Raw genomic sequence first — 26,998 nt, 5'->3', positions numbered from 1 at the left:
TTGGCTAATTAGTTGAGGTCTTGCTATGTTGCTCAGGCTGGTCTTAAACTCCTGGGCTCTAGTGATCTTCCTACCTTGGCCTCCCATAATACTGGCATTACAGGCATGAGACACGAAGCCCAGCCTAAAGTTTTACTTTTTGCATATATGATTTAAAATAAATCTCTTTTAAAAAAATTATTTTAAAAAATAAAGAAGGGTTTCACCATGTTGACCAGTCTGGTCTTGAACTCCTGGCCTCAAATGACCCACACACCTTGGCCTCCCAAAGTGCTGGGATTACAGGCATGAGTCACCATGCCCAGATTAAAATAAATCTTAATCTCTCACTCTATTTACTTATCTGTCAAACAGGACAGTTATACACCTGTGGAACCTGGTTTAACTTCACTAAATCAAACCTATAACAAGCAGGAAAATACTCTGTAATCAATAGAATGGACATATCAATACAAAGGTATTGTGACCATCATTAAGCAAAAGGGTGTCTGCACTTATTTATACATTGTGAGCAGAAGTTCAATGTAGTAAGAATTTGAGCTGCGGAACTTCCGATCAATTAGTAATTAATAATTTTTTCACCCAACTTCTCATTGGGCCTCAGTTCTCTTATCTATAAAATGGGAATGATACACTGCTTATCTCATGAGTTATTGCAGGATTGACTTAATGTATTGATCTCATGTGCTTTCATGTCTTCAAACACATCTGTATGCTGATGGATTCTAAATTTATTACTTGAGCTCGGGCACTCCCCTGAACTCCAGACTCAAATAACCAACGGCCTACTTGACAGTCTCCACTTGGTTTTCCAGCTGGGATGTCAAATGTCATGTGTCCAAACTGGGAATCCTCTGACTCTCCCCTTCCTAACCTATAACTTATTTTTCCCACTGTCTTCCCTATTTCCATTACAGCAATGCTGTCCTTCCACTTGCAGAGACCCAATCCTGGAGCCATCCTGTGCTATAATTTCTTTTATTGAGGTATAACTTGCACACAGTTATGTGCTCAAACTTTGTGTATGACTCTATCAGCTTTGAAAAACGCTTGTGCAAGTCCCTTCCTGTCAAGATGGAACATTCCCATAACCCCAAAAGTTCTCTTGTGTTGCTTTCCAGCCTCTTTCCATGCCATCCCCTCACGCCAGAAGCAACCACTTGTATGATTTTTATCATCACAGGTTAGTTTAGTCTATTCCAGAACTTCACATAAATAGAATAATCCAGTTTTTTTTTTTTTTTGCATGTTCGGCGTCTTTCACTCAGCATAATGTCATTGAGATTCATCCTCATTTTTCTATCAGTGGTTCCTTCCTTTTTGTAGTCCAGTAGTACTCCATGGTAAGAATATACAAAAACTTGCTTTTCCATTCCTTGGAGTTATTATTGACTGATTTCTTTCTTTCACATCCCAAATCTTCTCCATTAGTAAGTTCTATGGCTCTGGCTCCAAATAAAACCTGAATTTGACCACATGCATAGCTACCCAGCTAGTTCAAGCCACCACCAGCTCTTTCCTAACTGAGTTCCCTGTACCTTGCTTGCTTCCCTTCCATCTGTTTTCTACACAGCAGCCTTTACGGTCTTAAAAAGATAAATCTTATGATGCCACTACCTTTTAATAAAGAAGAAAACTTTTTAATAAAGAATGAAATCGCAACTCTAATGTCCTATGAGATCTGACTCCTGGTACCACTCCAATATCATCTCCTGCTATTGCTCCCTTGCTGCTGAATTTCAATCATCCTAGTATTTAAGCTTGTCAAACTCACAGGCATTTTCCCGCCTTAGGACCTTTACTTGTGCTGACATTCCACACCAGTGTTCTTTGCATAGCTGGCCTTTTCTTCTTTGCATAGCTGGCCTCAGGCCTCAGCTTCAAAGACCCACAGCACAAAAAAGCCTTCCATAACCAGCTTTATTTAATGTGGGGCCCCATAATTATATCTGTATATATACAGATGTATTTATACATATATATATATCATATATATATGTATTTTTGGTGGATACTTGTTTTTTTATTTGCCTTGCCTTATCCACTAGAATGTAAGCTCTGTTTACTTTATTCCTATGGACCCCATGGCATGTACACACAGCATAGGCCGGGAGTGAATGAATAAATAAGTAGTGAATCTCATTTCTCTTTCCCCATAATCACTGCAGAAATGGAAGCATCGTTGCTGGGTATGAAGTTGTTGGCTCCAGCAGTGCATCTGAACTGCTGTCAGCCATTGAACATGTTGCCGAGAAGGCTAAGACAGCCCTTCACAAGCTGTTTCCATTAGAAGACGGCTCTTTCAGAGTGTTCGGAAAAGGTAATGCTGGATTCCCATCCTCTGCTTAGGTTAAGAGAGTCCTTTAATTAGTAGTTCATTTGTGTCCTCAGGAAGTAGATTTGAGACGTTTGAATAACGAATTGTTCTCTAACTGCCTTTCAGCACAAACAGGCAGCTGTTTCCCCCAGCACCAAGATGAAACTTAGCTTCAACTGACTATTTCAAATTCTTGCTAATTGGAAATCTGATCTGTACCTCTTAGTGTAAACAGTGTGGAGAACTGACTTCACTGCAGGCTGTGATGGAAAGGGCTCAGCAATAGTTGACTGGCACACATGTTGAAAGAGCCCTGAGGCTGACAATATTCCTAAGTCACAATCCAAGAAATTATGTCTTTAACACATATAAAGACAGACAGACAGACACGCACACACACACACAAACTGTTTTTCTTCAGATATTTATCTTTTTCTTTTACATTCAATCTTACGCCTTTCCTACCAAAATTTGTACCACTCTCTTTCAACAACATTTATTCTATAAATATTTACTGAGAATCCAAAGTGTCTAGACACTTAAAATGCAGCAATGGTGAAAACAAACAAAAATCTTAGCTCTGGCTGGGTGCAGTGGCTCACGTCTATAATCCTAGCACTTTGGGAGGCCAGAGTGGGCAGATGACTTTAGGTCAAGAGTTCAAGATCAGCTTGGCCAACGTGGTGAAACCCCGACTCTACTAAAAATACAAAAATTAGCCAGGCCCAGTGCAGTGGCTAAAGCCTGTAATCCCAAAACTTTGGGAGGCCAAAGAGGGCAGATTGCCTGAGATCAGAAGTTTGAGACCAGCCTGGCCAACATGGTGAAATCCCGCCTCTACTAAAAATACAAAAAAAAAAAAAAATTAGCCAGGCGTGGTGGCACACACCTGTAATCCCAGCTACTCGAGAGGCCAAGGCAGGGGAATCACTTGAACCCAGGAGGTGGAGGTTGCAGTGAGCCGAGATCACTCCACTTAACTCCAGCCTGGGTGACAGAGCGAGACTCTGTTACAAAAATAAATAAATAAATAAATAAATAAATAGCCAGGCATCGTGGTGTGCACCTGTACTCCCAGGTACTAGGGAGGCTGAGGCAGGTGAATCACTTGAGCCTGGGAGGTAGAGGTTGCAGTGAGCAAAGATTGCACCACTGCACTCCAGCCTGGGCAACAAGAGTGCAACCCCATCTGAAAAAAAAAAAATCATAGCCCTTGTGGATCTTCCAGTTAATGTTTCCATCTCCTAGTTCCAATCATGATAAGAATGCATTATTAAAGGCTAGCAGCAAAAGTAGCAACTGGTTGCAATGTGAGCTATGCTTAAAGAGGTACAGGTAGGAAGTGCTACCCACAAATAGCAACTGCCCATCTTTTAACCATAACATTACTGCTTTATTCTATAGTGTCTGGAAAATTGTCTGGCTTTCTAATGTTCCTTTAAAGAGTAAAAATATTTCCTGAGAGTAATCACATCTTTCCTTATTATCACCTAATACTTACTAGTTGATAGCCCATTAAAAGTGATATTGTTGGCACAGATCGGACACCTGGAAGGAGGAGTCAGCCTCAGGGAGGGTAAGGCATCAGGAATGAGTAAGGAATGTTGAGAGGGATGAAGCAGGACATCAAAGACAAACTTCTCTTACTTCTGAATTTTGCCTGGATTTCATCTCCAAAAATGAGTTCTAAAACATTTGAACATGACTACATGGTTTATATAGAGTGCCAGGATATTCTAGGATCATTTTTCTTTGTTGTTTTCTTTTGTTTCCAGCCCAGTGTAATGACATTGTCTTTGGATTTGGGTCCAAGGATGATGAATATACCCTGCCCTGCAGCAGTGGCTACAGGGGAAACATCACAGCCAAGTGTGAGTCCTCTGGGTGGCAGGTCATCAGGGAGACTTGTGTGCTCTCTCTGCTTGAAGAACTGAACAAGGTGAGGCATTTTCACTGTGTAGACTTGCCCTGGTCTTGAGTTTCAGAGTGGCAATATCCCAGTGAGCATGGCTAGGTGGAGGGTAAGTATACCTACGTGCATCATTGGCCAGTATGCAAAGAGCAAGGATGACATCAGACCCTGGTGAACCCGTGGAGTCGTGCATGAGTGGTAGCGTCTGGGCAGCAGAGTCTAGGTTGCAGCTCAAAAGACAGAGTTGATAGTTTTGTCAGGCAGAGGTGTTGTGGAGGAGTGTATCATTGCTGAGGAGGTCTATGATGGATGGTAGAGCAGCAACTAAGCTGGCCTCAGAAGTCCAGAAGACCTGGGAATTAAAGAGAAGAGTGAAGGTGTGAGTCATAAGCCAGCAGGCTTAGTACAAGTAAGGATATATCTATACCAGAAATTAGGGCAAGGAGTGGGTCAGACAAAGGTGAACCATATAAAATGACTGAACTGCAATGGACCTTAAGGGGCATCTGGTTTACCAACCTCATTTTGCAGATCAGAAAACAAAAGACCAAGGGGCCAATAGTTCCTCTGGTAGCAATAGTTTTGAATTAGAAGCATGGTCACTTGATTCCTAGTCCAGTGCTGTATTAGTCTGTTCTCACATTGTTATAAAGAACTATTTGAGACTGGGTAGTTTATAAAGAAAAGAGGTTTGACTCACAGTTATGCAGGATGTACAAAAGGCATATCTGGGGAGGCCTCAGGAAACTTACAATCATGGTGGGAGGCGAAAGGGAAGTAAGCACATCCTTATATGGTGACAGGAGAGAGAGAGAGAGAGAGAGAGAGAAAGAGAGAGATGGAGAGAGAATGGGGGAGATGCTACACACTTTTAAACAACCAGATCTTGTGAGAACTGTATCATGAGACAGCACTTGGGGGATGGTGCTAAACCATTAGAAACCACCTCCATGATCCAATCATCTCCCACCAAGCCCCACCTCCAACATTGGGAATTATAACTCGACATAAGATTTGGGTGGGGACACAGAGCCAAACCACATCAGGTGCTATGCCCTCCACATGATGCTCTCTTAGGAAGGTTCAAGTATTAAGACAAGTAAGACAGAAAGAAGGAAATAAATATCTAGGAATCAGAAGAACTCAAGTCACAGAAAAGAAGGACCCCAAGACCAGTTCACAGATACTGTTCAGCAAGTAGATTTCCATATTGAGCAGAACTTCTATTCCAGCCAGAGACCTTGCTTCTGCTGCTGCAGTAGAAAACCCCAGAATAGTATTCATCAGAGGACTGTGGAATGTTTACTTCTCCCTTTGTGGATCTCAGTTTCCTCATCTGTAAACTGGGGAAGGGGATTAGATTCTGGGGTTTCTTCTTGCTCTTGCCTTCGTTGCCTCAATTCTGGACATGAGCAATAGTTGAGACTAGTTCGCTCCAGGCAGATCCCAGGTGGCTTGAACAGAAAACAGCATTGTCAGTTGAGAAGAACAAGAAGGAAAATGGCGGGCACTTGGGCGCCTGAGTGGACTTAATGTTGAGTGGAAGGGGACTGCCTTCCTTTGCTGCTTTCCAAGTTAGCCTGGTGTAGTAAAAGTAGATGGGAGCCTCAAGAAAGAAGTAAAATTCCAAATCTAGGGCCGGGTGCAGTGGCTCATGCCTGTAATCCTAGCACTTTGGGAGGCCAAGCCGGGCAGATCATGAGGTCAAGAGTTCAAGACCAGCCTGGCCAACATGGTGAAACCCCTGTTTCTACTAAGGATACAAAAACAATTAGCTGGGCGTGGTGGTGCATGCCGGTAATCCCAGCTACTTGGGAGGCTGAGGCAGGAGAATCCCTTGAACCTGGGAGGCAGAGGTTGCAGTGAGCTGAGATCATGCCACCGCACTCCAGCCTGGCTGACAGAGCAAGACTCCATCTCGAAAAAAATAAAAAAAACAAATCTTGTGACAAAACGGGGGCTGGCACAAGCCCAGTAGTCAAATCTCCATGTATGTTTCTCTCTCTTCCCATCTTACAACGCATTCTCAGTGTAGCGTGGTGAACATAACAGGATTACTACCAGTAGACCTACCCTAACATTTTCCGCTGAGTGCTCTTTGGAAGGTCATTAAATCTCATTGAACATGAGTTTCTGTATAATTAAGATAATAATTTATATGAAAATGATTTTTAGTAAATCTTTGCAAGTTTCAGTTTCCTTAGCTATAAAATGAAAATAATAATGGCACCTCCCTCAAAGGATATTGAAAGAATTCAATGAATGAAAATAATAATGGTACCTCCCTCAAAGGATGTTGAAAGAATTCAATGAATCCCTGGTAAAGCACCTAGTGCAATGTCTAAAATATAGAAATCACTGAATAACAGCCTTTGTTACTATTGTTATGTAATTATCCTACATTAGAACACACCATACAAATGTTAGTTCTATATGGCCAAGACATCTGATTTAAATTTGATGAAACACAGCATGTCATTGTTTTCTAGAACTTAACCATTTTCGCTTCTAGAATTTCAGTATGATTGTAGGCAATGCCACTGAGGCAGCTGTGTCATCCTTCGTGCAAAATCTTTCTGTCATCATTCGGCAAAACCCATCAACCACAGTGGGGAATCTGGCTTCGGTGGTGTCGATTCTGAGCAATATTTCATCTCTGTCACTGGCCAGCCATTTCAGGGTGTCCAATTCAACAATGGAGGTATGGTCTGCCTGTGCTTGAAGGGCTCACTTTAAATGCTTGATCCTGTAGGAGGAATGACAAAGCCTTAAATATGGGGAACTATTGGAAAAGACAGAAAGCCATGTATGCGTCTTTATGTGAACTTTACTGCTTCCTCTGAGGTATACAAGGAACTCGGGATCAATAGTGTGTGTTCAAAGGAAGACAGAGCTGCTCTTATGCAGGTTACCTGGGCAGCACCCAGCTTAGAGGAGGGGGTAAGCTTTTGCACTATGTGACATAGGCACTGCCTTTTCAACATGTTTGCAATCTATAATTTTTCTTTCCTGTGGCCGCAAGCTCAGACTTGAACAGTGTATATTTTAAGAACTCCCTTCATAACACCTTCTCTCAACTGAATATGGTTTAGTTTGGATATTTAAAGATTAACTTACAAATTACATAAATGATACTTGGTCACTATAGGAAGTGCAAATAAGCAAAAAGAAAAATAAATTATCTGTAGCCTGGTCACTTTAAAATAAACACTGCTTACATTTTAGGTATCACCTCAGTACCTAGAAGAATGACAAGTGATATATAGCGTGTGCTCAATAAATATTTGTTCAATAAATATCCTTCCAAACATTTTGGGTGTATACATTTTATATGTTAAAGGATATAATGTTTTACAAAACTGGATTATATAATGTACATTAAATAATCACACAATAATACTTAACTATATATGATTAAAATTGTTTCAGAAGTGACACTAAATATCAGTAAGTTAAACTCCCTGAGTTAAAGAAAAGATACTCCAATTTGTTTTTTTAAAAACCTGACCACATGTTGTTTACAAGAGACCAACTGAAACAAAATGACACAAAAATGCTAAAAATAAAATGAAGAGTGAAAACAAAGCAGGCAAACACAAAGCAAAAGAAAACAGAGGTTTCTAGGGGCAGTAGAAGTAGAACATCATGGGATTCTGGACTAGAAGGCAAAGAGGGCTGGGTCAGAGTAAGACTCAGGTGGAGTGACAGATGCTTGCAGCCAGAGTGTCTGGGAGCCAGACCCATAAGCAAGAGAAGGGGTTCTGTGGGAAGAAGTAACAACTTCCAAGGAGTTGCTTGGAAAATGAATCTCAAACTAAGACTGACCCTTAAAACCCATGACAATTCAATGCTTGGGTTCAGGCTTTAAAATTGTTTTGCTTTATGTAGTAGGAAACAAGAAACATAAAAACTATAGTAAACAAGAAACCTAAAAATTTGAGCATCTCTTATGTGAGTTTTGAACTTCTGGTGTTAGCAAAACAAACATAATGTGGGAAAGCAGTACAAAGTAGTGTCTGCATCTTTGAGCCTCAGCCTGAATAGCAGTGTAGTCATTTTTAACATCTCGGAGAGGAGGAAATGCACATCACATGTGTGCAGCTGAAATTGCAGGATTCTTTCTCATTCATCCTGAAGCCTCAGTGCATTTACAGATGCTCTGGGGTGATCACCCTGGGACTTACATGATTCTGCTGACCCAAGATTTTGCCCAAAGCTTCTACTGTACAGATGAACTGAGCTAAATTTGATTGATGAGTTTTAATGTGGTTCGTGACTGAGCCAATTCTCTGGGCATTTTTCCTATTCTTAATGCTAATGACTATCCACTGCTGGTCCTCTTATCTGTTTACTCAAAAACACAAACTGACTCTCATCCTTGTGTTTCAGGATGTCATCAGTATAGCTGACAATATCCTTAATTCAGCCTCAGTAACCAACTGGACAGTCTTACTGCGGGAAGAAAAGTATGCCAGCTCACGGTTACTAGAGACATTAGAAAACATCAGCACTCTGGTGCCTCCGACAGCTCTTCCTCTGAATTTTTCTCGGAAATTCATTGACTGGAAAGGGATTCCAGTGAACAAAAGCCAACTCAAAAGGGGTTACAGCTATCAGATTAAAATGTGTCCCCAAAATACATCTATTCCCATCAGAGGCCGTGTGTTAATTGGGTCAGACCAATTCCAGAGATCCCTTCCAGAAACTATTATCAGCATGGCCTCGTTGACTCTGGGGAACATTCTACCCGTTTCCAAAAATGGAAATGCTCAGGTCAATGGACCTGTGATATCCACGGTTATTCAAAACTATTCCATAAATGAAGTTTTCCTATTTTTTTCCAAGATAGAGTCAAACCTGAGCCAGCCTCATTGTGTGTTTTGGGATTTCAGTCATTTGCAGTGGAACGATGCAGGCTGCCACCTAGTGAATGAAACTCAAGACATCGTGACGTGCCAATGTACTCACTTGACCTCCTTCTCCATATTGATGTCACCTTTTGTCCCCTCTACAATCTTCCCCGTTGTAAAATGGATCACCTATGTGGGACTGGGTATCTCCATTGGAAGTCTCATTTTATGCCTGATCATCGAGGCTTTGTTTTGGAAGCAGATTAAAAAAAGCCAAACCTCTCACACACGTCGTATTTGCATGGTGAACATAGCCCTGTCCCTCTTGATTGCTGATGTCTGGTTTATTGTTGGTGCCACAGTGGACACCACGGTGAACCCTTCTGGAGTCTGCACAGCTGCTGTGTTCTTTACACACTTCTTCTACCTCTCTTTGTTCTTCTGGATGCTCATGCTTGGCATCCTGCTGGCTTACCGGATCATCCTCGTGTTCCATCACATGGCCCAGCATTTGATGATGGCTGTTGGATTTTGCCTGGGTTATGGGTGCCCTCTCATTATATCTGTCATTACCATTGCTGTCACGCAACCTAGCAATACCTACAAAAGGAAAGATGTGTGTTGGCTTAACTGGTCCAATGGAAGCAAACCACTCCTGGCTTTTGTTGTCCCTGCACTGGCTATTGTGGCTGTGAACTTCGTTGTGGTGCTGCTAGTTCTCACAAAGCTCTGGAGGCCGACTGTTGGGGAAAGACTGAGTCGGGATGACAAGGCCACCATCATCCGCGTGGGGAAGAGCCTCCTCATTCTGACCCCTCTGCTAGGGCTCACCTGGGGCTTTGGAATAGGAACAATAGTGGACAGCCAGAATCTGGCTTGGCATGTTATTTTTGCTTTACTCAATGCATTCCAGGTGAGAACAGTAACAATAACCTATTGTATTGTCAAGTGATTGGAATAAGTAGAGAACTCAGGCAGGTAAAACCACTCTGGAGATTATCTCATCTCCCTGCCTCCAGCAAGACCATCAGAAAAACTGCATGGAAACAATAAATAGAAAAAAATATTTTTCTTACTTAGTTACTATCATACTGAAGCAGAATATTGGATTTCTTCAGTAACCCACTACAGGGCTTTAAATCTATTAGAGTTCTTCTGGCAAATAATCTCGCTTGCTGCTGACTCAGTTCTCTTTCTCTTAGGCAGAACTCTGGGAAAAAATTAAACAGAGAAAGGGAAATACATCATAAGTACTTGTTGACTCTGAATGGTGCAAAGGAATTTCCTAGGGTGCAATAGAGAAGGGGCTAGCAAAATGCAACCAGTAGCCTGTTTTTGTAAATAAAGTTTTATTGGAATACAGCCATGCTTATTTATGTACATATGGTCTATGGCTGCTTTCACTGCAATGGCAGAGTTGAGTAGTTGCAAAAGAAACCGTATAGCCCGCAAAGCCTAAAGTGCTTACCACCTGGCTCATCACAGAAAAAGTTTGCTAATCTCTGCTACAAAGAATGGGTTTTTACTTGGCACAGTCAGAAAGTGTTCAGAGAGGAGGTGGACAAAGCAATCATTAGGTTTTGATGAATCTGGACGAGAGCCTTCAGTCCCAGTTCAGTGAAGGTTTTGCTGGACCACCTCAGACAATGACTCAGGGAAGTGGTGGTTAAACATTTGAACTCTAGACTTAAATAGGTCTGGGCTCAAATACATCACTTTACAAACTGTGTGACCTCTAGCACATTGCTTAATCTCTCTGTCTCTCAATTCTCTCATCTTTTAAATAGAGATAATAATACTTACATCATCAAATAAATGTGAGGGTTAAATGAGATAATTTAGCACTTATCGCATTGTCTGGCACATAACAAATGCTCAATAGATGTTTCCTAAAAGTTGGTTCTCCATCTATTCAGCAACCAGTGAACAGTCAGGTGCTAGTATGGATGGCAATCATAGAGCATGCCCCTAGCAGTGACAAGCTTAGGGCACCCCTGTTGGGGAGCAGGAGTACAGTCTCATAGTGATACACTGTCTGAACAAGCACCAACTGAAGGAGCTATGCCTGAGAGAAGGAATTCAAGATCCACCAAAACATTTACCAAGGGTTCCCCAAGACCTGCACTGGAAGGAAAGGGTGCTGATATAGGTCAAATCCCTCCACTTGGCCATAGGATTGGATCTCTGTGCCTGCTGCCGTCATAGATGCTTAGACATCAAATGCCTGGTCTAAAGAAAGACTAAGATACAGACAAAAAAGGATGCTATTTGTTTGGGTTGGGATGGTACGATGGGGAGAATGAAGCTCCACATGCAAAACTTCATTCGCTTGGTCATTTGCTTATTTAGACATCAACAAAACATTTTTTTGAGTGCTTTGCATAGTGCCATGCACTTGTGGAGGCCACATGGTGTTCTTGCTTTCAAGGAGACTACAGTCTCTTAAGGAGACAGACAAGAAAACAGTTTCAATGTGGGGTGATTGAATAGTGTTACATATAAATGCTTTCTTTTTTGGAAAAGAAAAATACAATACATGTGATTTATTCCTTTCTTTTTAAAGGGATTTTTTATCTTATGCTTTGGAATACTCTTGGACAGTAAGGTATGTGTATTTATTTCTCTCATTAACCCCTAGCCTAGACATCTTAGGCCCCCTCCCCTTTGTTCTGAGGCCTTTATTCATATAATAAGAGGTGGGACTATTGGTACTTTTGTAATAAAATTCTGTGCTTTTAGAGAAGTCAGGCTCAGTCAGAAAACAAAGGAACTAAACAGTCACTGCTGATAAAGCTTGCAGAACTAATCAAACATGTAATGTAAACGTTGTCGGAAAAAAGGGGAATTCTTTTTACCTTTAACTTTTCTAATTTAAATTATGGTATGGCAGTAATTCCATAGCAAAATTGCTTTGCTAACAGGTGAATTCTCTTTTGTTCTTTCAATTATTCTACCCATTTATTTAGAATATGCTGAAATATATATCTACTTCTATACTTGTAGAGTTTTAAACAGTAAGTGTTAATAGCCTCTCACAGACTATTATTCTAAGTGAAGTAATTCAGGAATGGAAAACCAAGCATTGTATATTTTCACTCATAAGTGGGTGATAAGCTTTGAGGATGCAAAGACATAAAAATGACACAATGGACTTTGGGGACTCAGGGGAAAAGGGTGGGAAGGGGGTGAGGGATAAAAGACTACAAATTGGGTGCAGTATATACTGCTCAGGTGATGGGTGCATCAGAATCTCACAAATCACCACTAAAGAACTTACTCATGTAACCAAACACCACTTGTTCCCCAATAACCTATGGAAATAAAAATATTTTAAAAAGTAAAGTATACTGTTGAAGAAAAATAAATAAATAAATAGCCTCTCACATTAAATAAAATTCCCAGTGAAGAACAGTAAGTTTAAATGAAAGATAATAGAAAAAAATTTTTAAATATACTTGTTTCATAAACCCAAGCATTAAACAATTCTGTTGGGAGAGGTGAAGGCCATAAGCTAATAGATGTATAGTCTTTGTTTTAATAAGAAAATAAAAAATTTTTATAATTAGCAAAATTGTTGCTAATTATAGGAACAATTTTGCACATGAACAAACTGCTATCTACAAAGAAGCAATTTGCTGTTCTTAATTGTACTAAAAGTAATTGCCTTGTCTTACCATTCATGTGGTTAGGAAACTCTTCACTTCAAAGATACACTTCAGTTTAGCAATTATTGCCAACTACTAATGTCTAAAATTGGAATGAGTATGGCATTTGGTACTGTTGTTCTTTGTTGAACTCTAGTTTTGTTTATAGGTAAAGAGATGAAGAAAATAATCTTTCTACCAGATATCCATTCATGGTCTACTAACTGCTTCTAGGAAATAATACTATTAAATAACCATTTCAACCTGCAGTTGTTCTTGATTTGTCTGTGTATGATTGTATGTGTATCTCCTCAATATTTCTTTGTTGCCCTTATAGCTGCGACAACTTCTGTTCAACAAGTTGTCTGCCTTAAGTTCTTGGAAGCAAACAGAAAAGGTAATTATCTCCTACTGCCATGAATCCAATACATGAAGTTCCAGTTTTGCATTCTTCTCTTTATACAGTCTTGCTGCAAGCCAACTTCTGTGTAAACCCCTTGAATTTCTTTCACCATTATATTCCTGGTATCTGACATGGAGCCTGGCACATGAGTGGTAGTAAAGAGTTGTTGAGTGAATGAGTGATTAAATGAGTGACTGTGAAGTCATGGAAACTTACAAGGATGCTCAAGTATGGAAGTCTGTGGGTGCTTGTGAGTGAATACTTTTGAACAATGGCATTTACTTTAGTCTGACTAGCTTATCAATATTTAGAACTAGCAAGGCCCTTTTCTTCATCTGACTTTCTGAACCTTCTGTAAACCATTTTTCCTTCTCTAGACAGATAAAATGAGAGATCTTGGTTAAATTCTTGTCTTTAAATTTGGTTAACTTCTAATACATAAAAGTATTATGTATTAATAATTTTCTTTTTTTAGGCTGCTATCACTGATTCTGTTACTTGCAATCTTAGCTCTTAAGTCTACAAACCCACAAGTTTTTAAGGAAATGGAGGATTTCTGTATCATTCTTTGCCATAAAAGTATAATCCATATGGGGATAGTATATTTAGAAACAAAAGTGCTTGAACACATATTTTGTGTTTTCAATATTATTTAGACTTTTGTTTTTCAGCGAGGCACTGAGGGCCTTTCAGAAGGAGTTCTAAAGCAGAGAATTTCTTTATTTTATAAAAGTCAACTGACTTAACTGCATCCAAACCTATATGGGTATTGAGAGATTTTTACAAGTGACAATATAACTTTTTGAAATAAAAATCAATAAGGAAATTTTCCTCTGGCATTAAAAAGTCTTCCTTGGTCTGCATTTTTCAGTAGACAGCACTGCTGTGAATTACGGAGCACTGGCCCATGAGCAGGTGGACCAGTCCTGCCCTTGTATTTCTGACTCCGTAACCAATTGACTGTGTGATCTTAGGAAAGTCACTTCGTCTCTAAGTTTTAATTTTCTCAACTGTAGAAAATAAATGTTGGACTAGTTATTCAAAGCAGAAGTTCTCACATTCTGGGATTTAGATTTTATGTCTGGAAGAACTAAAAATCACTCGAACCAGAAGTTGTGAAACTAATGAGTCATTACCTACACTTAAGAAAAGGAGAAAATTACAGCACATGTGACTACATAAAAGATAAAACCTTTAGTGAATATAATGAGACGGGACACTCCCCACCCTGCAAAGCAGAAAGTCAAAATTTTTCTCCTTTGAAAACCAAAGAAGGAAAAATACTCCCAAGTAAAATAAAACAAAAGCAAAAGCAAGAATGCCTAACAGTTTCTCTCTGTTTCTAACATCAAGCACTGACACTTCTGAGAAGGCAGTGTCTGTATTTGTACCTTCTCCCCAATTTCATTTCCAAATTAGGTGACAAAAATGAGATTTTGTTGCTGGTTAGGTGGCTCATTTGTTTTAAAATAAATATACATTATTTTCAAGAAGAAAATATGTGCATTTATAATTTTCTTAGAGAGTTTGAATGAAAAAGCAGGACCCCAAGGACCCCAAATGACAGATGATGAGAAGGTGAGAAAGAGATCACACTTGATGAATATTCCTGCCAAGAAACTCGCTGGTGAGCAAAATCAGCGAGATTGGTAACCAGACGTGGACCCAGCACAGCAGTGACAGGCTAGAGTTGAAGTTGCCAGGATGTGACAAGTTCATATGTTGGGAGGGGTGAGCCAGTGAAGAGACTCTGAAAACAAATAAGAGAGAGACTGAGGATAATGGGCAGAAGAGGACTCCTGGGAAGACAGAGGGATTGGTCGGACTGAAGATGGAGGGATTTGCTCCTTAGCTTGACACAGGAAGTACCACATTGATGCAGGAGGAGCAACATGTATAAATTGGGATTCTAGGTGAAAAAGTATCTGAGACAGGTCTCAATCAATTTAGAAGTTTGTTTGCCAGGGTTAAGGATCATGAGCCATGACACAGCCCCAGGAGGTTCTGAGAATGTGTGCCAAAGATGGTTGAATTACAGCTTGATTTTATACATTTTAGGGAGACATAAACATCAGTCAGTACATGCGAGGTATATCTTGGTTCAGTCTGGAAAGATGGGACAACTCGAAGTAGGGACAGGAGGGCTTCCACGTCATAGATGGATTCAAAGATTTTCTCATTGGCAATTGGTTGAAAGAGTTAAGTTATTATCTGAAGACCTGGAATCAATAGAAAGGAGTTTCTGGGTTAAGCTAAGGGGTTGTGTAGACCAAGGTTCTTTTTATGTACCTGAAGCCCTTTGATGCAAGAGATGCAAATGTTTTCTATTCAGACCTTTTAAAGGATATAGACTCTCAGCTAATCTCTTCAGGATCAGAAAAAGATCTAGAAAGGGAAGGGAATTTTCTACAGAATATAAATTTCTTCCACAAGAGACAGCTTTGCAGGGCCATTTCAAAATATGTCAAAGAAATATATTTTGTGGTAAAATACTTTGATTTCTTTCAGGACCTATCTGTTGCATGATGCTATGCTAGAGTTTGGTTGGAATTTGGTATCTTATTGCTACAAAAGATTTGTTCTATCAGTCTTAAGATCTCAGTTTTGTGTCTGAGCTCCAAAGGGAGAAGACTACAATGAAGCATGTCTGACCCCCACTTCCCATCATAACCTCAACTAGTTTTTCAGGTTTCTTTGAAATCTCCTTGGCTGAGAGGGGGGATCCATTCAGTTGGTTGGGGGGCTTAGAATTTTATTTTTGTTTACAGTGTCATGATATAGAGAGTTCGAACCTTGATACTTTTTTTGTTTGTTTTTCTTAAGTAATGGACAAGGCTATCCTCTGAGAGATAGCTAAAGGAGGAGTAAAGTAGGGATCCTGAACAGAGCAGTGAGACTATGATAGTTGACTGAAGGGAATGAAAGAAGAGCCAGCAATAGTCTCAGCAAGGACCATCCTTCAAGCCACAGCACACTGTATGGACCCCAAATCTTCTCCATGCTCAGGCCCCTGTCTTGACCCTCCATTGTCCCTAGGCATGTTCTCTGTAACTCTTCTCCAAGTCACAGACTCTGGTGGCCTCAATGGACCCCCCTCCACAAAGAATAGATTTACAGACCTACATCTGAGTTCCAGTAACTCACGGCCTGTTATTTGGCTAAGTGTTTCGACCCATATAACTTCACACACCTGAAGAGGCTACTTCTTCCCAGACCACAAGGAAGTATATTGAGTATGTTACAACCTAAAATTCCTATCTCCAAATGGTACAGGATGCAATTTTAAGTGCCATGATCCCTGACCTTATGATTTTTTTAAAGGTTTATAGCATTAAATGTTTGCTGAGCCCTGAATTCTAGAAAATTAATTATTTTGCTTTGAAAGTTTCAAATATTTTTAATTCTTATTTTTGTAGCTTTTTTTTTTCAGAACTCAGTGTGCCTTAATACCAGTGAAAATTGAAAAACTATCACTGGTCTATCTACTGAATATAATAAGAACATGTTTTTCCCACCTTGGTTTGGTTTCCTTGTGGCATAGACTGTAGCAAGGAATGGAAGTTTTCCTTCCAATATTCCCAGTGCCAGAACAGCATCTGGCACACAAAGGCATTCAATATGAGATGGTAAATTAATGGACAAATGAATGATGAACTAATGAGTAGAAAAATATATAATGTATGTAAACACATTTATCTTTCCTGATAAGTACATGCTCTTTGTTTCAAATATTTTATTTAATTTTATAATTCAGCTGTTAAATTATTGAACTCTATATAGCCTCTGTAGCAATGACCAAAGCGTCATTCAAAAGTAGGTTTGAGAGCTAAGATGAGCAAGAGTAAAGCAAAGCTTTGTTGAGAATCATTTTTAGTCAGAGCACTGTTTTTCCTCCATTTTCCTCCATGGGTTTCTCTTCCAGTAACAAATGTGATCCAAAGAAATGTAAGCATAGACATGAAAAGGGATAATGCCGCCTTTAAAACTGTTTTCTAGTTTGTTGTTAGAAGTTATAAAAATACACAGGAACACAGCATTCACTTGAAAATAAATTTTTAGGCATTTTAAATAGATTAAAGCAGAAGAAAGAGTGAGAAAGTAACCATTCTAAATTCTTAAAAAGAGAATAGCACCTATGAAAATGAAATAAAGAATCATGAATAACATCAGGAAGTCAGGAAATGCAGACCAACAGTAAAAGAATGCTATTAATGTCCAAATGACTTATTTTTATTTTGTGCAGCAAAACTCATCAGATTTATCTGCCAAACCCAAATTCTCAAAGCCTTTCAACCCACTGCAAAACAAAGGTGAGTTACAATAAAACCAAAGGTTATAAAAGGTGTGAAAAGAGTATATGAGTATATCATATGAATAAAATTCAATGGCAACATGTAAGAAACTCATGTGAGAAGTGTGGGATTATCAGCCAGCCATGTTTTCAGAGTTCATCCAGACCGTGCTCAGGGCTGACAGAACAATGTAGGTGACTTGATGCTCATGGAGAACCAGAGAGTGTCTTTATGTAATGTCATCACAAATTATCTCTATTTCCCAAGTTTGACATTAGATAAATCTGTGGCATTGATCATTGAGGCCTTGAAGGGAAGGAGTGTGGTTAGACTAACACGATTTATGTCCTTATTGGAGAATCACCCCTTTGTGCCAGCTGCCAAGCAGTGGGCACGCGGCCAGGTGCTTGTGCCCTGATGTTGCACATGTCCTCCTCCCTAAAATGCCCCTGGGCAGGAAGGGGCCACACCTGCTAAGAGTGAAAGAGCACTGTCTCCTCCACCTGTGACATGCACTGGCCCTATGTTCATTGATTGGCGGTTACTAAAGTCTGTGCTATTGAGCAACTGCAAGACCAGTGTTTAAACATTGCAAGTAGCCACAGCATTCTTGGAGGAGAGAGAAGGTTGGAACATGGAAGTGGAGGAGGAGACATTGCCTTACAAGCTAAGTTGAAACCATGCTTAAGAGTTAAAGTCCCATTTCACATTCAGTTATGTTAATGTCATCATTAATGTAGGAAACTCATTTTATATTCCCATTGAAATTATTCAAATTCCAGATAAAGTTCAAGTGTCTGGAGAATGTGCTTGTCCCGGACCCTTGGGTTCTGTTGTTATTGCCACCAGTCAGCTTGAGCGCTTTTTTACAAGTCTCTACCTTTTGGGGACATTTGTTCCTCATCTATAAAATAAAAAGCTAAGAGATTACTAAGATTCTTCCAGCAATAACATATTGTGATCTCAATCTACTTTATGTCATTTCCCAGCAATATTTGAAAAACATGATATTTCTCAAATAAGTGATACTTGACAAATGCAAGCCTCTGGGGTGTTGGTGAAATGCTATTTCTCTCCACCAACCACAGTCTTTTTGTCTTTACCTAGAATCTTTTAAAAACTGTTCCTAGTTGTGAAATAATCTACAGGCTAATTTTCATTTTGGTCTCATGCTTGATTTCAACAGAGTAACAATAATTATTTCCTTTTTTTTTCCCCTTCAGGCCATTATGCATTTTCTCATACTGGAGATTCCTCCGACAACATCATGCTAACTCAGTTTGTCTCAAATGAATAAGGCAAGGAATCATAAAATCAAGAAAAAATTTCCAGAACAACTTGACATTTAGAGACAAATGTCAATGAAGAAATTATGCTCAGTATTCGATCGGGTTTTCTGATTTAGGGGTCTGGGAATAAAACAAGAATGTCTCAGTGGCTTCATTACTGCTCCCTTTTGTCTTCAATTAAATGAAAAGAAGATTTATTTCCATGTGATTTGATTCAAAGAAAGTGCTCCATAAATGCAGAAGAGTAGGTTTTGTTGGAAATCGTGTCAGTTGTACCCTGACCATAAAATATGGTTTCTATTTTCATAAAACAGCATTATTCACATGGCATTTCCAATAATCTGGATTGAAGGAAGAAAATTTTATGAAATAGCTTTAGATAAATTAATAGGCCACGTTCATTTTCTTGTCAAAAAGTTACTGGTGGGGGGATGGTGGGAAAAAGTTATTAGTGCAAATTTCCTAGAGAAAAAACCATTTCTCTTTCAAATTTTCCAGTTGAATTTTATGTTCGCTTTTGCTTCTTAGGTTCTATCACTTAATATTGAAAGTTAATCAGAAATAAAATGTAAACTTCTATTTCAGATAGCTTTGTAACCATTTATCAGAAAGTATAATAATGTGATATGATATATAATGTGGTATTTTTCAGTTTACAAGGCACTTCCATCTGGTCCTAAACCCTGCAAACAAAAGTGTCAAGGCAGACCTAGTGCAGAGATGAGGGCATGGGGGCTCAGAGAGGTAAAGTGACTTGCCAAAGATTGTGAAGCCAGTTAAGGGAAATTGGGGATTTTTAGGACATTTGTCTCCCAGACCATTTCTACAGCCAATAAAAGCCTTGAAAATTACCTACATCTCTAGTAAATCTTTCTGAGGTCAGTTACACAGTTCACCATTCCCAGAATTCTATGTAAGAGAGAAATTAAGGGAGAATTTGGTTGTCAGCTTCCAGGGAGGTACCTTAAAACATCCTTATTTTCTTTCATAATACACCATAGGCACTTTGTGGAAGTTATTTTCTTGTACAGCCAGTGCCACTTTTGGATGACATACAAAGCAGCAGGAGTTGACGCTATGTGAAGCAACACTTCTCTTCCATACTTCCATCACATTTGGCTCACCTACCTGAGTTTCAGCCGTGACCATAGTGCCCAGAGGAACCCGAGCCTTTGATTCATCCTTGCTGTTTTGAGAGGCCTAGGGAGTGTCTCTTAGCCTCCTGACATGGAAAGCCTTCATGCTATGCAAATAAAGACAGCTGGGGGAACTTCTAGTTAGTGGTGGTAGATTAAATAAGCATACCTGAGAGAAATTCAAAGTTAGACTTCCACAAGGCACCAAGGTGCAGCACACATGAAATATGAAAGTGAGAGGTTCAAAGGAAATGACTGAGGATCAGTTAGATGGTTCTATACCCCACAAATATGTATGAGAGTCAACAGAATTTTATGAGAAAGACTTCTTTGCAGAAAACTGCTCTATGAGCCTTCTCACTCTACCTACCCACAAAAGTGAGAGAAGGAGGAATGTCTGCTCCTTGACCTCAAATTTAGTGAGAGAAGATTTCTCAGATAGCTCAGATAGCTCAGATTTCTCAGAACCACAACAATTAGGATGCATGGCTGATGGAAGTCTGATTCTTGCCTAGAATTGTGGCCACAGCTCCGGTAGTAGAGCCCTGAATGAGTTCTGTGTTGAGAATAGCCTGTATGTCTAGTGTTTGTCAGGGCAATGGATGTGTGTGTTTCCCATGAACCATAGTGAGACATGCAAGAGTGAAGGTCAGCATGGGGCTCTTTTAGGTCCTCTCTGATAGGGTTGTCCAAAGAGGTGGAGGGAACCCAGCATCAAGAAGTGGGAGGTGAAGCCAGATTGTGGGATGAGGAAGGAGTCACAAATGACCACCTGGAATACAAAAAAATCTACACAAGCTAAAGATGAGAAGTCAGGGCTATGAGAATTTCTATGGGAGTTCTTGAATGCTCCCTCTCTTATTACACACAATTACTATCCAGAGAACCCTGACACCATGTGAAGGCAGCCCTATCTCATAAGACAGATTTCTTTTTTTGGGGACCTTGGGGAAAGGGAGGCCAGAAACCTCCGTGTCCAAGGTGGGGTGGAAGGAGAGGGAGAAATCTTAGCAAAAATGTCAACCAGCAAGGGAAGATGTGCTAGCGCAAGTAGGCAACTCAACACAAGACTCAGTTGGAGAGGGAAGAAAAATTTAGTACTAAATTATTGTAGTTTCTTCTTATTGTAGGCGACTGGGAGTCATAATTACCAAACTATTTAAAATGACCAAAATGTTGCTCTTACCTGAGTATGTTGGCATACAACTGGAATGTATCTGATGGAAGAAAAAGCTTCTCCCACTGAATAAATTTTATGAGGATGATGAGAGACAAAAAAATGTTTGATCAGATATCATGTATGTGCATGCTTGTCTAATTCACTGATTATGCATACATTCACCTCAAAATGCTACTAAAACAACAATAAAATAATGAAAAAGTGAATAGCATTGTAATAATTTTCTATTGCTGTGTTTTCTATTATAATAGTTTATTCCATTTCTGTTATGATAGTTTTTTATTGCTGCATATAAAATTGCTGCAAACTCAGCAGCTTAAAGCAACACACATTTATTATCTCAAAGTGGTCATGGGTGGATTCCATGCACAGCTAAGCTTGTACTTTGCTCAGGGTTACACAAGGCTGTCATCAAGGTACTGGATGGACTGTCATGTCATCTGGAGGTGCAGGTGGGGAAGAATTCACTTCTGACTCATTCAGGTTGTTGGCAGAATTTGTCCCCTTGTGGTTGTGGGAATGAGAATGGTGGCTTTTTGCTGACTATTGGCTAGAGTTCATCCTCAGACCCTAGAGGCCACCCCTATTTTTTTCACCACATGGGCTTTTCCAACTTGGCCACTTACAACATTAAGCCTGCAAGGACAGTCTCTAACTCCAGTCTGCTTTTAAGAGAGAGTCTTGTTTAATGTAAGATAATTAGGAGAGTGACAACCCATAACTTTTGCCATATTTCACAGGTTAGAACCAAGTCACAGGCCCTGGCCACAATCGAGAGGAGGGCATTTCAAAAGGTGTGAATGCCAGGAGGGAGGGATCACTGGAGGTCACAGACATGAAATTCCAAAGATTGGGAACAAGAGAGGAGATAACAGCAACACACCTTTGGAAAGCAGGTGGGGTGGTGTGAACTGACTTAGAAGACCTGAGAAAGTTAAATATTAAGCCAGTGGTGGGGAAAAACAAGAAGCAACCTACTTTACACTGCAGAATCCCCCAAGAGACTTAAGACTTTGCAGCACCAGGTACCTTAAGAATTTGGATGAATATGGGACTGAATAGTAGATTTGGTTGGTTCAAGTTCAATTTAGGAAGCATCTGGTCCCCCAGGTACCTCTCTAATCCCAAGTAGCCAAGCAAATGTCCTTTCCTTCATCCTACTAATAGATTATATGGAGATGTGGAAAAAGATGGGATATTGGGACTGAGAGACAGCAGAATCAGTTGGGAGAGGTTTTCCCATCCTGAAAACAAAAGGTTTAGTGAAAGTTGACATATAACAATGGCAGCAAGTCTTACATTTTTAAGGCAAGAGTCTTGTATGAGTCCATTCTCATGCTGCTGATAAACACATACCTAAGACTGGGTAATTTATTTTAAAAAAAGGTTTAATGGGCCCACAGTTCCACATGGCTGGGGAAGCCTCACAATCATGGTGGAAGACAAAGGAGGAGTAAAGGGACTTCTTACATGGCAGCGGGCAAGAAAGGGAGTGAAAACGATATGAAAGGGGTTTCCCCTTGTAAAACCACCAAATCTTTTGAGACTTATTTACTACCATGAGAACAGAATGGGTAAAACTGGCTCCATCATTCAATTATCTCCCACTGGGTCCCTCCCACAACACGTGGGAATTATGGGAGCTACAATTTAAGATGAGATTTGGGTGGGGACACAGCCGACCCAAGTCAAGTCTGAACAGGCATCTCTGGAGAATCTGATTATAACAGGAGGAAACATTGAAGATACTGACTTTGAATATTTACTAAGGAATTATTTTTCCAGATAATCACCCTACAGGAAGGCCAAGAGTCCTCATACACAGACAATCCAACCATCAAATCAGCTTTATAGTGTCTCAGTCTGAAATATAAGCAAACAGCCTAGGATCATTAAGTACTTTACAAAAGCTTCCAGTATCAAATGCAGAGGCCAAAAAGAAAAAATAAAAGGCAGGGAGAGGCAATGCAGTCTCACCTTTAGTCCTGTGATATAAGCTCACCTAGAGCAATGAAGAAACAAACATAGAAATACACATTAGGAGAGAAAATCATACTAGAAGGCAGGAGACCTAAAAGACAATCAGTTTTATCCTCAAGTAGGATATTGCCTCTATAAAGTGAGTGCTATAACAAGGAATACACAGACAACAAAAAGATATCTCTGAAATCTAAAACATCGTTAATAAAATGCTTCAATAGAAGGATTGGAAGATAAAGTTTAGGAAATGATCTAGAAAGTAGAATTAAAGAAAAATAGATGTAAAATAGAAAAGAGAGGATTAGAGGACAAAACCAAGAGTTTCAAAACTTGAGTACAGTTTGCAGAAAAAAGAGGAAAGAAGCAGAAGGAAGGGCATTAAAGAAATAAATGGAGAAAAAAATGTTATCACTAAGAAACATGAGATTCTCTATTGAAATTTCCCATCAAATTCTCAGTAGGATGGATGAAAGTAAAACCATAGTTAGACACATCATTGCAAAATTTCAGATCACAGGAGACAAAAAGAAGATCTAAACACTTTCAGAGAGGAAAAAAAAACAGATTTTATACAAAGGGTCAAAAATCAGAATATTATCAGAACTTTCCACAGTAATATTATAGGCTAGAAAACAATGAAGAATACAGTCAAAATGTTGAGGAGAAATGACTGCAACCTAGAAGCAACTAAATGTGAAGAAGAATAAAGATATTTTTATGCACGGAAGTTTTCAATAAATTTCCCTCCAATGCTCCCTTTCCTCAAAATTGTTGAGGAATATGCCATGCCATGCCATATATGGGAGTAAACCTAGAAGGATGAAGACATGACCCCAGCAAAACAAAGGATGCAATAGAAAAGGAAGCAGAGGGAATAGAACCTTTCTGATGGGGATAAAGGGAATTTCCCAGACAGCAGTTACAGGGCAGATCCAGGCTGGATCTTCAGAAGAGATTGCTCAGAAAAAGAAAAACAATGCATCTGAGTGTTATTTAGAAGAGGTTTACTTACTGGAGAAGGAGAGTTTGGGGATGAATTTTGATTAGAACACATATATTCAAGCAAGTAAAAAGAAAATACAACATCTAACAGAAACAAAAAGCTGTACAGAAAAGAAAAAAACAGAGCATACAACCTAGCTCAGCTATTAATAGAATATAAACAATCTCAATAATGTGAAATGATTTTGATATAACCAAACTAATAACAATGTAACTATATTGAGAAGGTGGAGACTAGAGAGTGTTTTGGTGGGGGGAGTGGATGGCAAAAGAGATCTAAATCAAACTTGTTCAACCCTCTGCCCACAGGTTGCATGCTGCCAAGGACGGCTTTGAATGTAGCCCAACGTAAATTCATAAACTTTCTTAAAATATTGTGAGTTTATTTTGTGATTTTTTTTTTTTTAGCTCATCAGCTATCGTTAGTGTTAGTGTATCTTATGTATGGCCCAAGACAATTCTTCTTATTCCAGTGTGGCCCAGGGAAGCCAAAAGATTGGACACCCCTGATAAATCTTCATTCTTTGCTTTTGTAAATCAATAAAAGTGAGAAACCAAGAAGTAGTATTATAATCATGTTATTTAGAAATAAGTGAAAAATACCAAAAGAACCAGCTAAATCAGTTCAAAATACTTGTCTCTGAGAATCAGGGAATCACAGAGTTATTTGACTCTTAAAATCATATTCACATGACTTTCATTAAACATAAATAAATGGTGCACGCACCTGTGTGTGTTGTGTAAATTGAAGGAAACATTCAGGATATCCTAAAATTAGAAGTCGCTTTGATTTATTTGCTTGAACTTGGAGGCTCAGTGCTCTCCACTCTTATGTGGTATTAGTCAGCTGCTTCAGGTCTTTGAGATGCCTATGAGACATCAATTTGGGATGTTAAGTGAGTCACTGGGTATACCAACCCATTGTTCAAGGGAACTTCTGGGCTGGAGATACATTCCTGGGGTCACCAGCATAGGGATGGTGCTTAAAGCCATAGGACCAGAGGAGATAACCTAGCAGGGACTGGTGGAAAAGTGAGGAGATCCTTGGTGTACCCCACCATTTACAGAAAGGGAGAGGAGCGGAGGAGGATCCGGTAAAGAGGTGTGAGAATGAACACCCTTGTGAGGTAGAAGGAAAACCAGGAGAATGTTATGTCCTAGAAGCTCAGAGAAACATTTCAAGAAGGTTTTCAAAGACAGCAACTGGGTTAAATACGGCTGAGAGTCAGGGAAGATGAGGCCCCTGACTTGACTATTTGAGTTTGAAACATGAAGATCATTGATGTACTGATATAATAGGACCTCAGAGTAAGAAATTCCAGTGTCAGGAAGTTTCACCTAGAACTCATGTTTAGACTTTGCATAGCCCTCTATTGAATAAGCTCTTCCAGATCTGTAAAGAATTATTTTAGAAAGATTAATTTTCTCCATTTCTCTTACGCTTCCAGAACAAATGAAGGGGCTGACAGAGGGTCACTCTGTAGTTCAGTGTTTATCAGACTAATGCAAATGTTGGTAAAAGTCCCATTCTGTTTCTTTCCAAGTGGTTCTTTTTTTTTAAATTATACTTTAAGTTCTAGGGTACATGTGCACGACGTGCAGGTTTGTTACATATGTATACATGTGCCATGTTGGTTTGCTTCACCCATCAACCCTTCATCCACATTAGGTATTTCTCCTAATGCTATCCCTCCCACAACCCCCCACCCCCCGACAGGCCCCAGTGTGTGATGTTCCCGCCCTATGTCCCAGTTCTCATTGTTCAATTCCCACCTACGAGTGAGAACATGCAGTGTTTGGTTTTCTGTCCTTGTGATAGTTTGCTGAGAATGATGGTTTCCAGCTTCATCCACGTCCCTGCAAAGGACATGAATTCATCCTTTTTTGTGGCTGCATAGTATTCCATGGTGTATATGTGCCACATTGTCTTAATCCAGTCTATCATTGATAGACATTTGGGTTCATTCCAAGTCTTTGCTATTGCGAATAGTGCCGCAATAAACATAAGCGTGCTTGTGTCTTTATAGTAGCATGATTTATAAACCTTTGGGTATATACTCAGTAATGGGATCGCTGGGTCAAATGGTATTTCTAGTTCTAGATCCTTGAGGAATCGCCACACTCTCTTCCATAATGGTTGAACTAATTTACACTCCCACCAACAGTATAAAAGCATTCCTATTTCTCCACATCCTCTCCAGCATCTGTTGTTTCCTGACTTTTTAATAATTGCCATTCTAACTGGCGTGAGATGGTATCTCATTGTGGTTTTGATTTGCATTTCTCTGATGACCAATGATGATGATTTCATGTGTCTGTTGGCTGCATAAATGTCTTCCTTTGAGAAGTGTCTGTTCATATCCTTTGCCCACTTACGGATGAGGTTGTTTGGTTTTTTCTTGTAAATTTGTTTGAGTTATTTGTAGATTCTGGATATTAGCCCTTTGTCTGATGGGTAGATTGCAAAAATTTTCTCCCATTCTGCCTGTTCACTCTGATGGTAGTTTCTTTTGCTGTGCAGAAGCTCTTTAGTTTAATTAGATCCCATTTGTGTATTTTGGCTTTTGTTGCCATTGCTTTTGGTGTTTTAGTCATGAAGTCCTTGCCCATGTCTATGTCCTGAGTGGTATTGCCTAGGTTTTCTTCTAGGGTTTTTATGGTTTTAGGTCTAACATTTAAGTCTTTAATCCATCTTGAATTAATTTTTGTATAAGGTGTAAGGAAGGGATCCAGTTTCAACTTTCCACATATGGCTAGCCAGTTTTCCCAGCACCATTTATTAAATAGGGAATCCTTTCTCCATTGCTTGTTTTTGTCAGGTTTGTCAAAGATCAGATGGTTGTAGATGTGTGGTGTTATTTCTGAGGGCTCTGTTCTGTTCCATTGGTCTATATATCTGTTTTGGTACCAGTACCATGCTGTTTTGGTTACTGTAGCCTTGTAGTACAGTTTGAAGTCAGGTAGCATGATTCCTCCAGCTTTGTTCTTTTTGT

At 39.6% G+C, this 26,998-nt stretch overlaps 1 protein-coding gene across 2 annotated transcripts in view; it reads left to right on the top strand.

The window, feature by feature from the left end:
- Window positions 1-21,229, top strand: part of ADGRF1 (adhesion G protein-coupled receptor F1) — a 44,625-nt gene extending 23,396 nt beyond the window's left edge. For both annotated transcript variants that reach the window (NM_153840.4, XM_047418639.1), the window contains 8 exons: window positions 2,169-2,320; window positions 4,093-4,256; window positions 6,742-6,930; window positions 8,619-9,992; window positions 11,643-11,684; window positions 13,061-13,120; window positions 17,370-17,436; window positions 18,642-21,229. In NM_153840.4, coding sequence (NP_722582.2) covers window positions 2,169-2,320; window positions 4,093-4,256; window positions 6,742-6,930; window positions 8,619-9,992; window positions 11,643-11,684; window positions 13,061-13,120; window positions 17,370-17,436; window positions 18,642-18,715 — 2,122 coding nt within the window. In that variant the 3' untranslated portion in view covers window positions 18,716-21,229. The remainder of the gene's footprint in view (window positions 1-2,168; window positions 2,321-4,092; window positions 4,257-6,741; window positions 6,931-8,618; window positions 9,993-11,642; window positions 11,685-13,060; window positions 13,121-17,369; window positions 17,437-18,641) is intronic.
- Window positions 21,230-26,998: the final 5,769 nt, after the last annotated feature.

This window comes from Homo sapiens, chromosome 6, assembly GCF_000001405.40.
Source record: "Homo sapiens chromosome 6, GRCh38.p14 Primary Assembly".
Classification (NCBI taxonomy): domain Eukaryota; kingdom Metazoa; phylum Chordata; class Mammalia; order Primates; family Hominidae; genus Homo; species Homo sapiens.
Note: the sequence above shows the minus strand (reverse complement) of the source record. Positions and strands in the feature narration are given on the sequence as shown.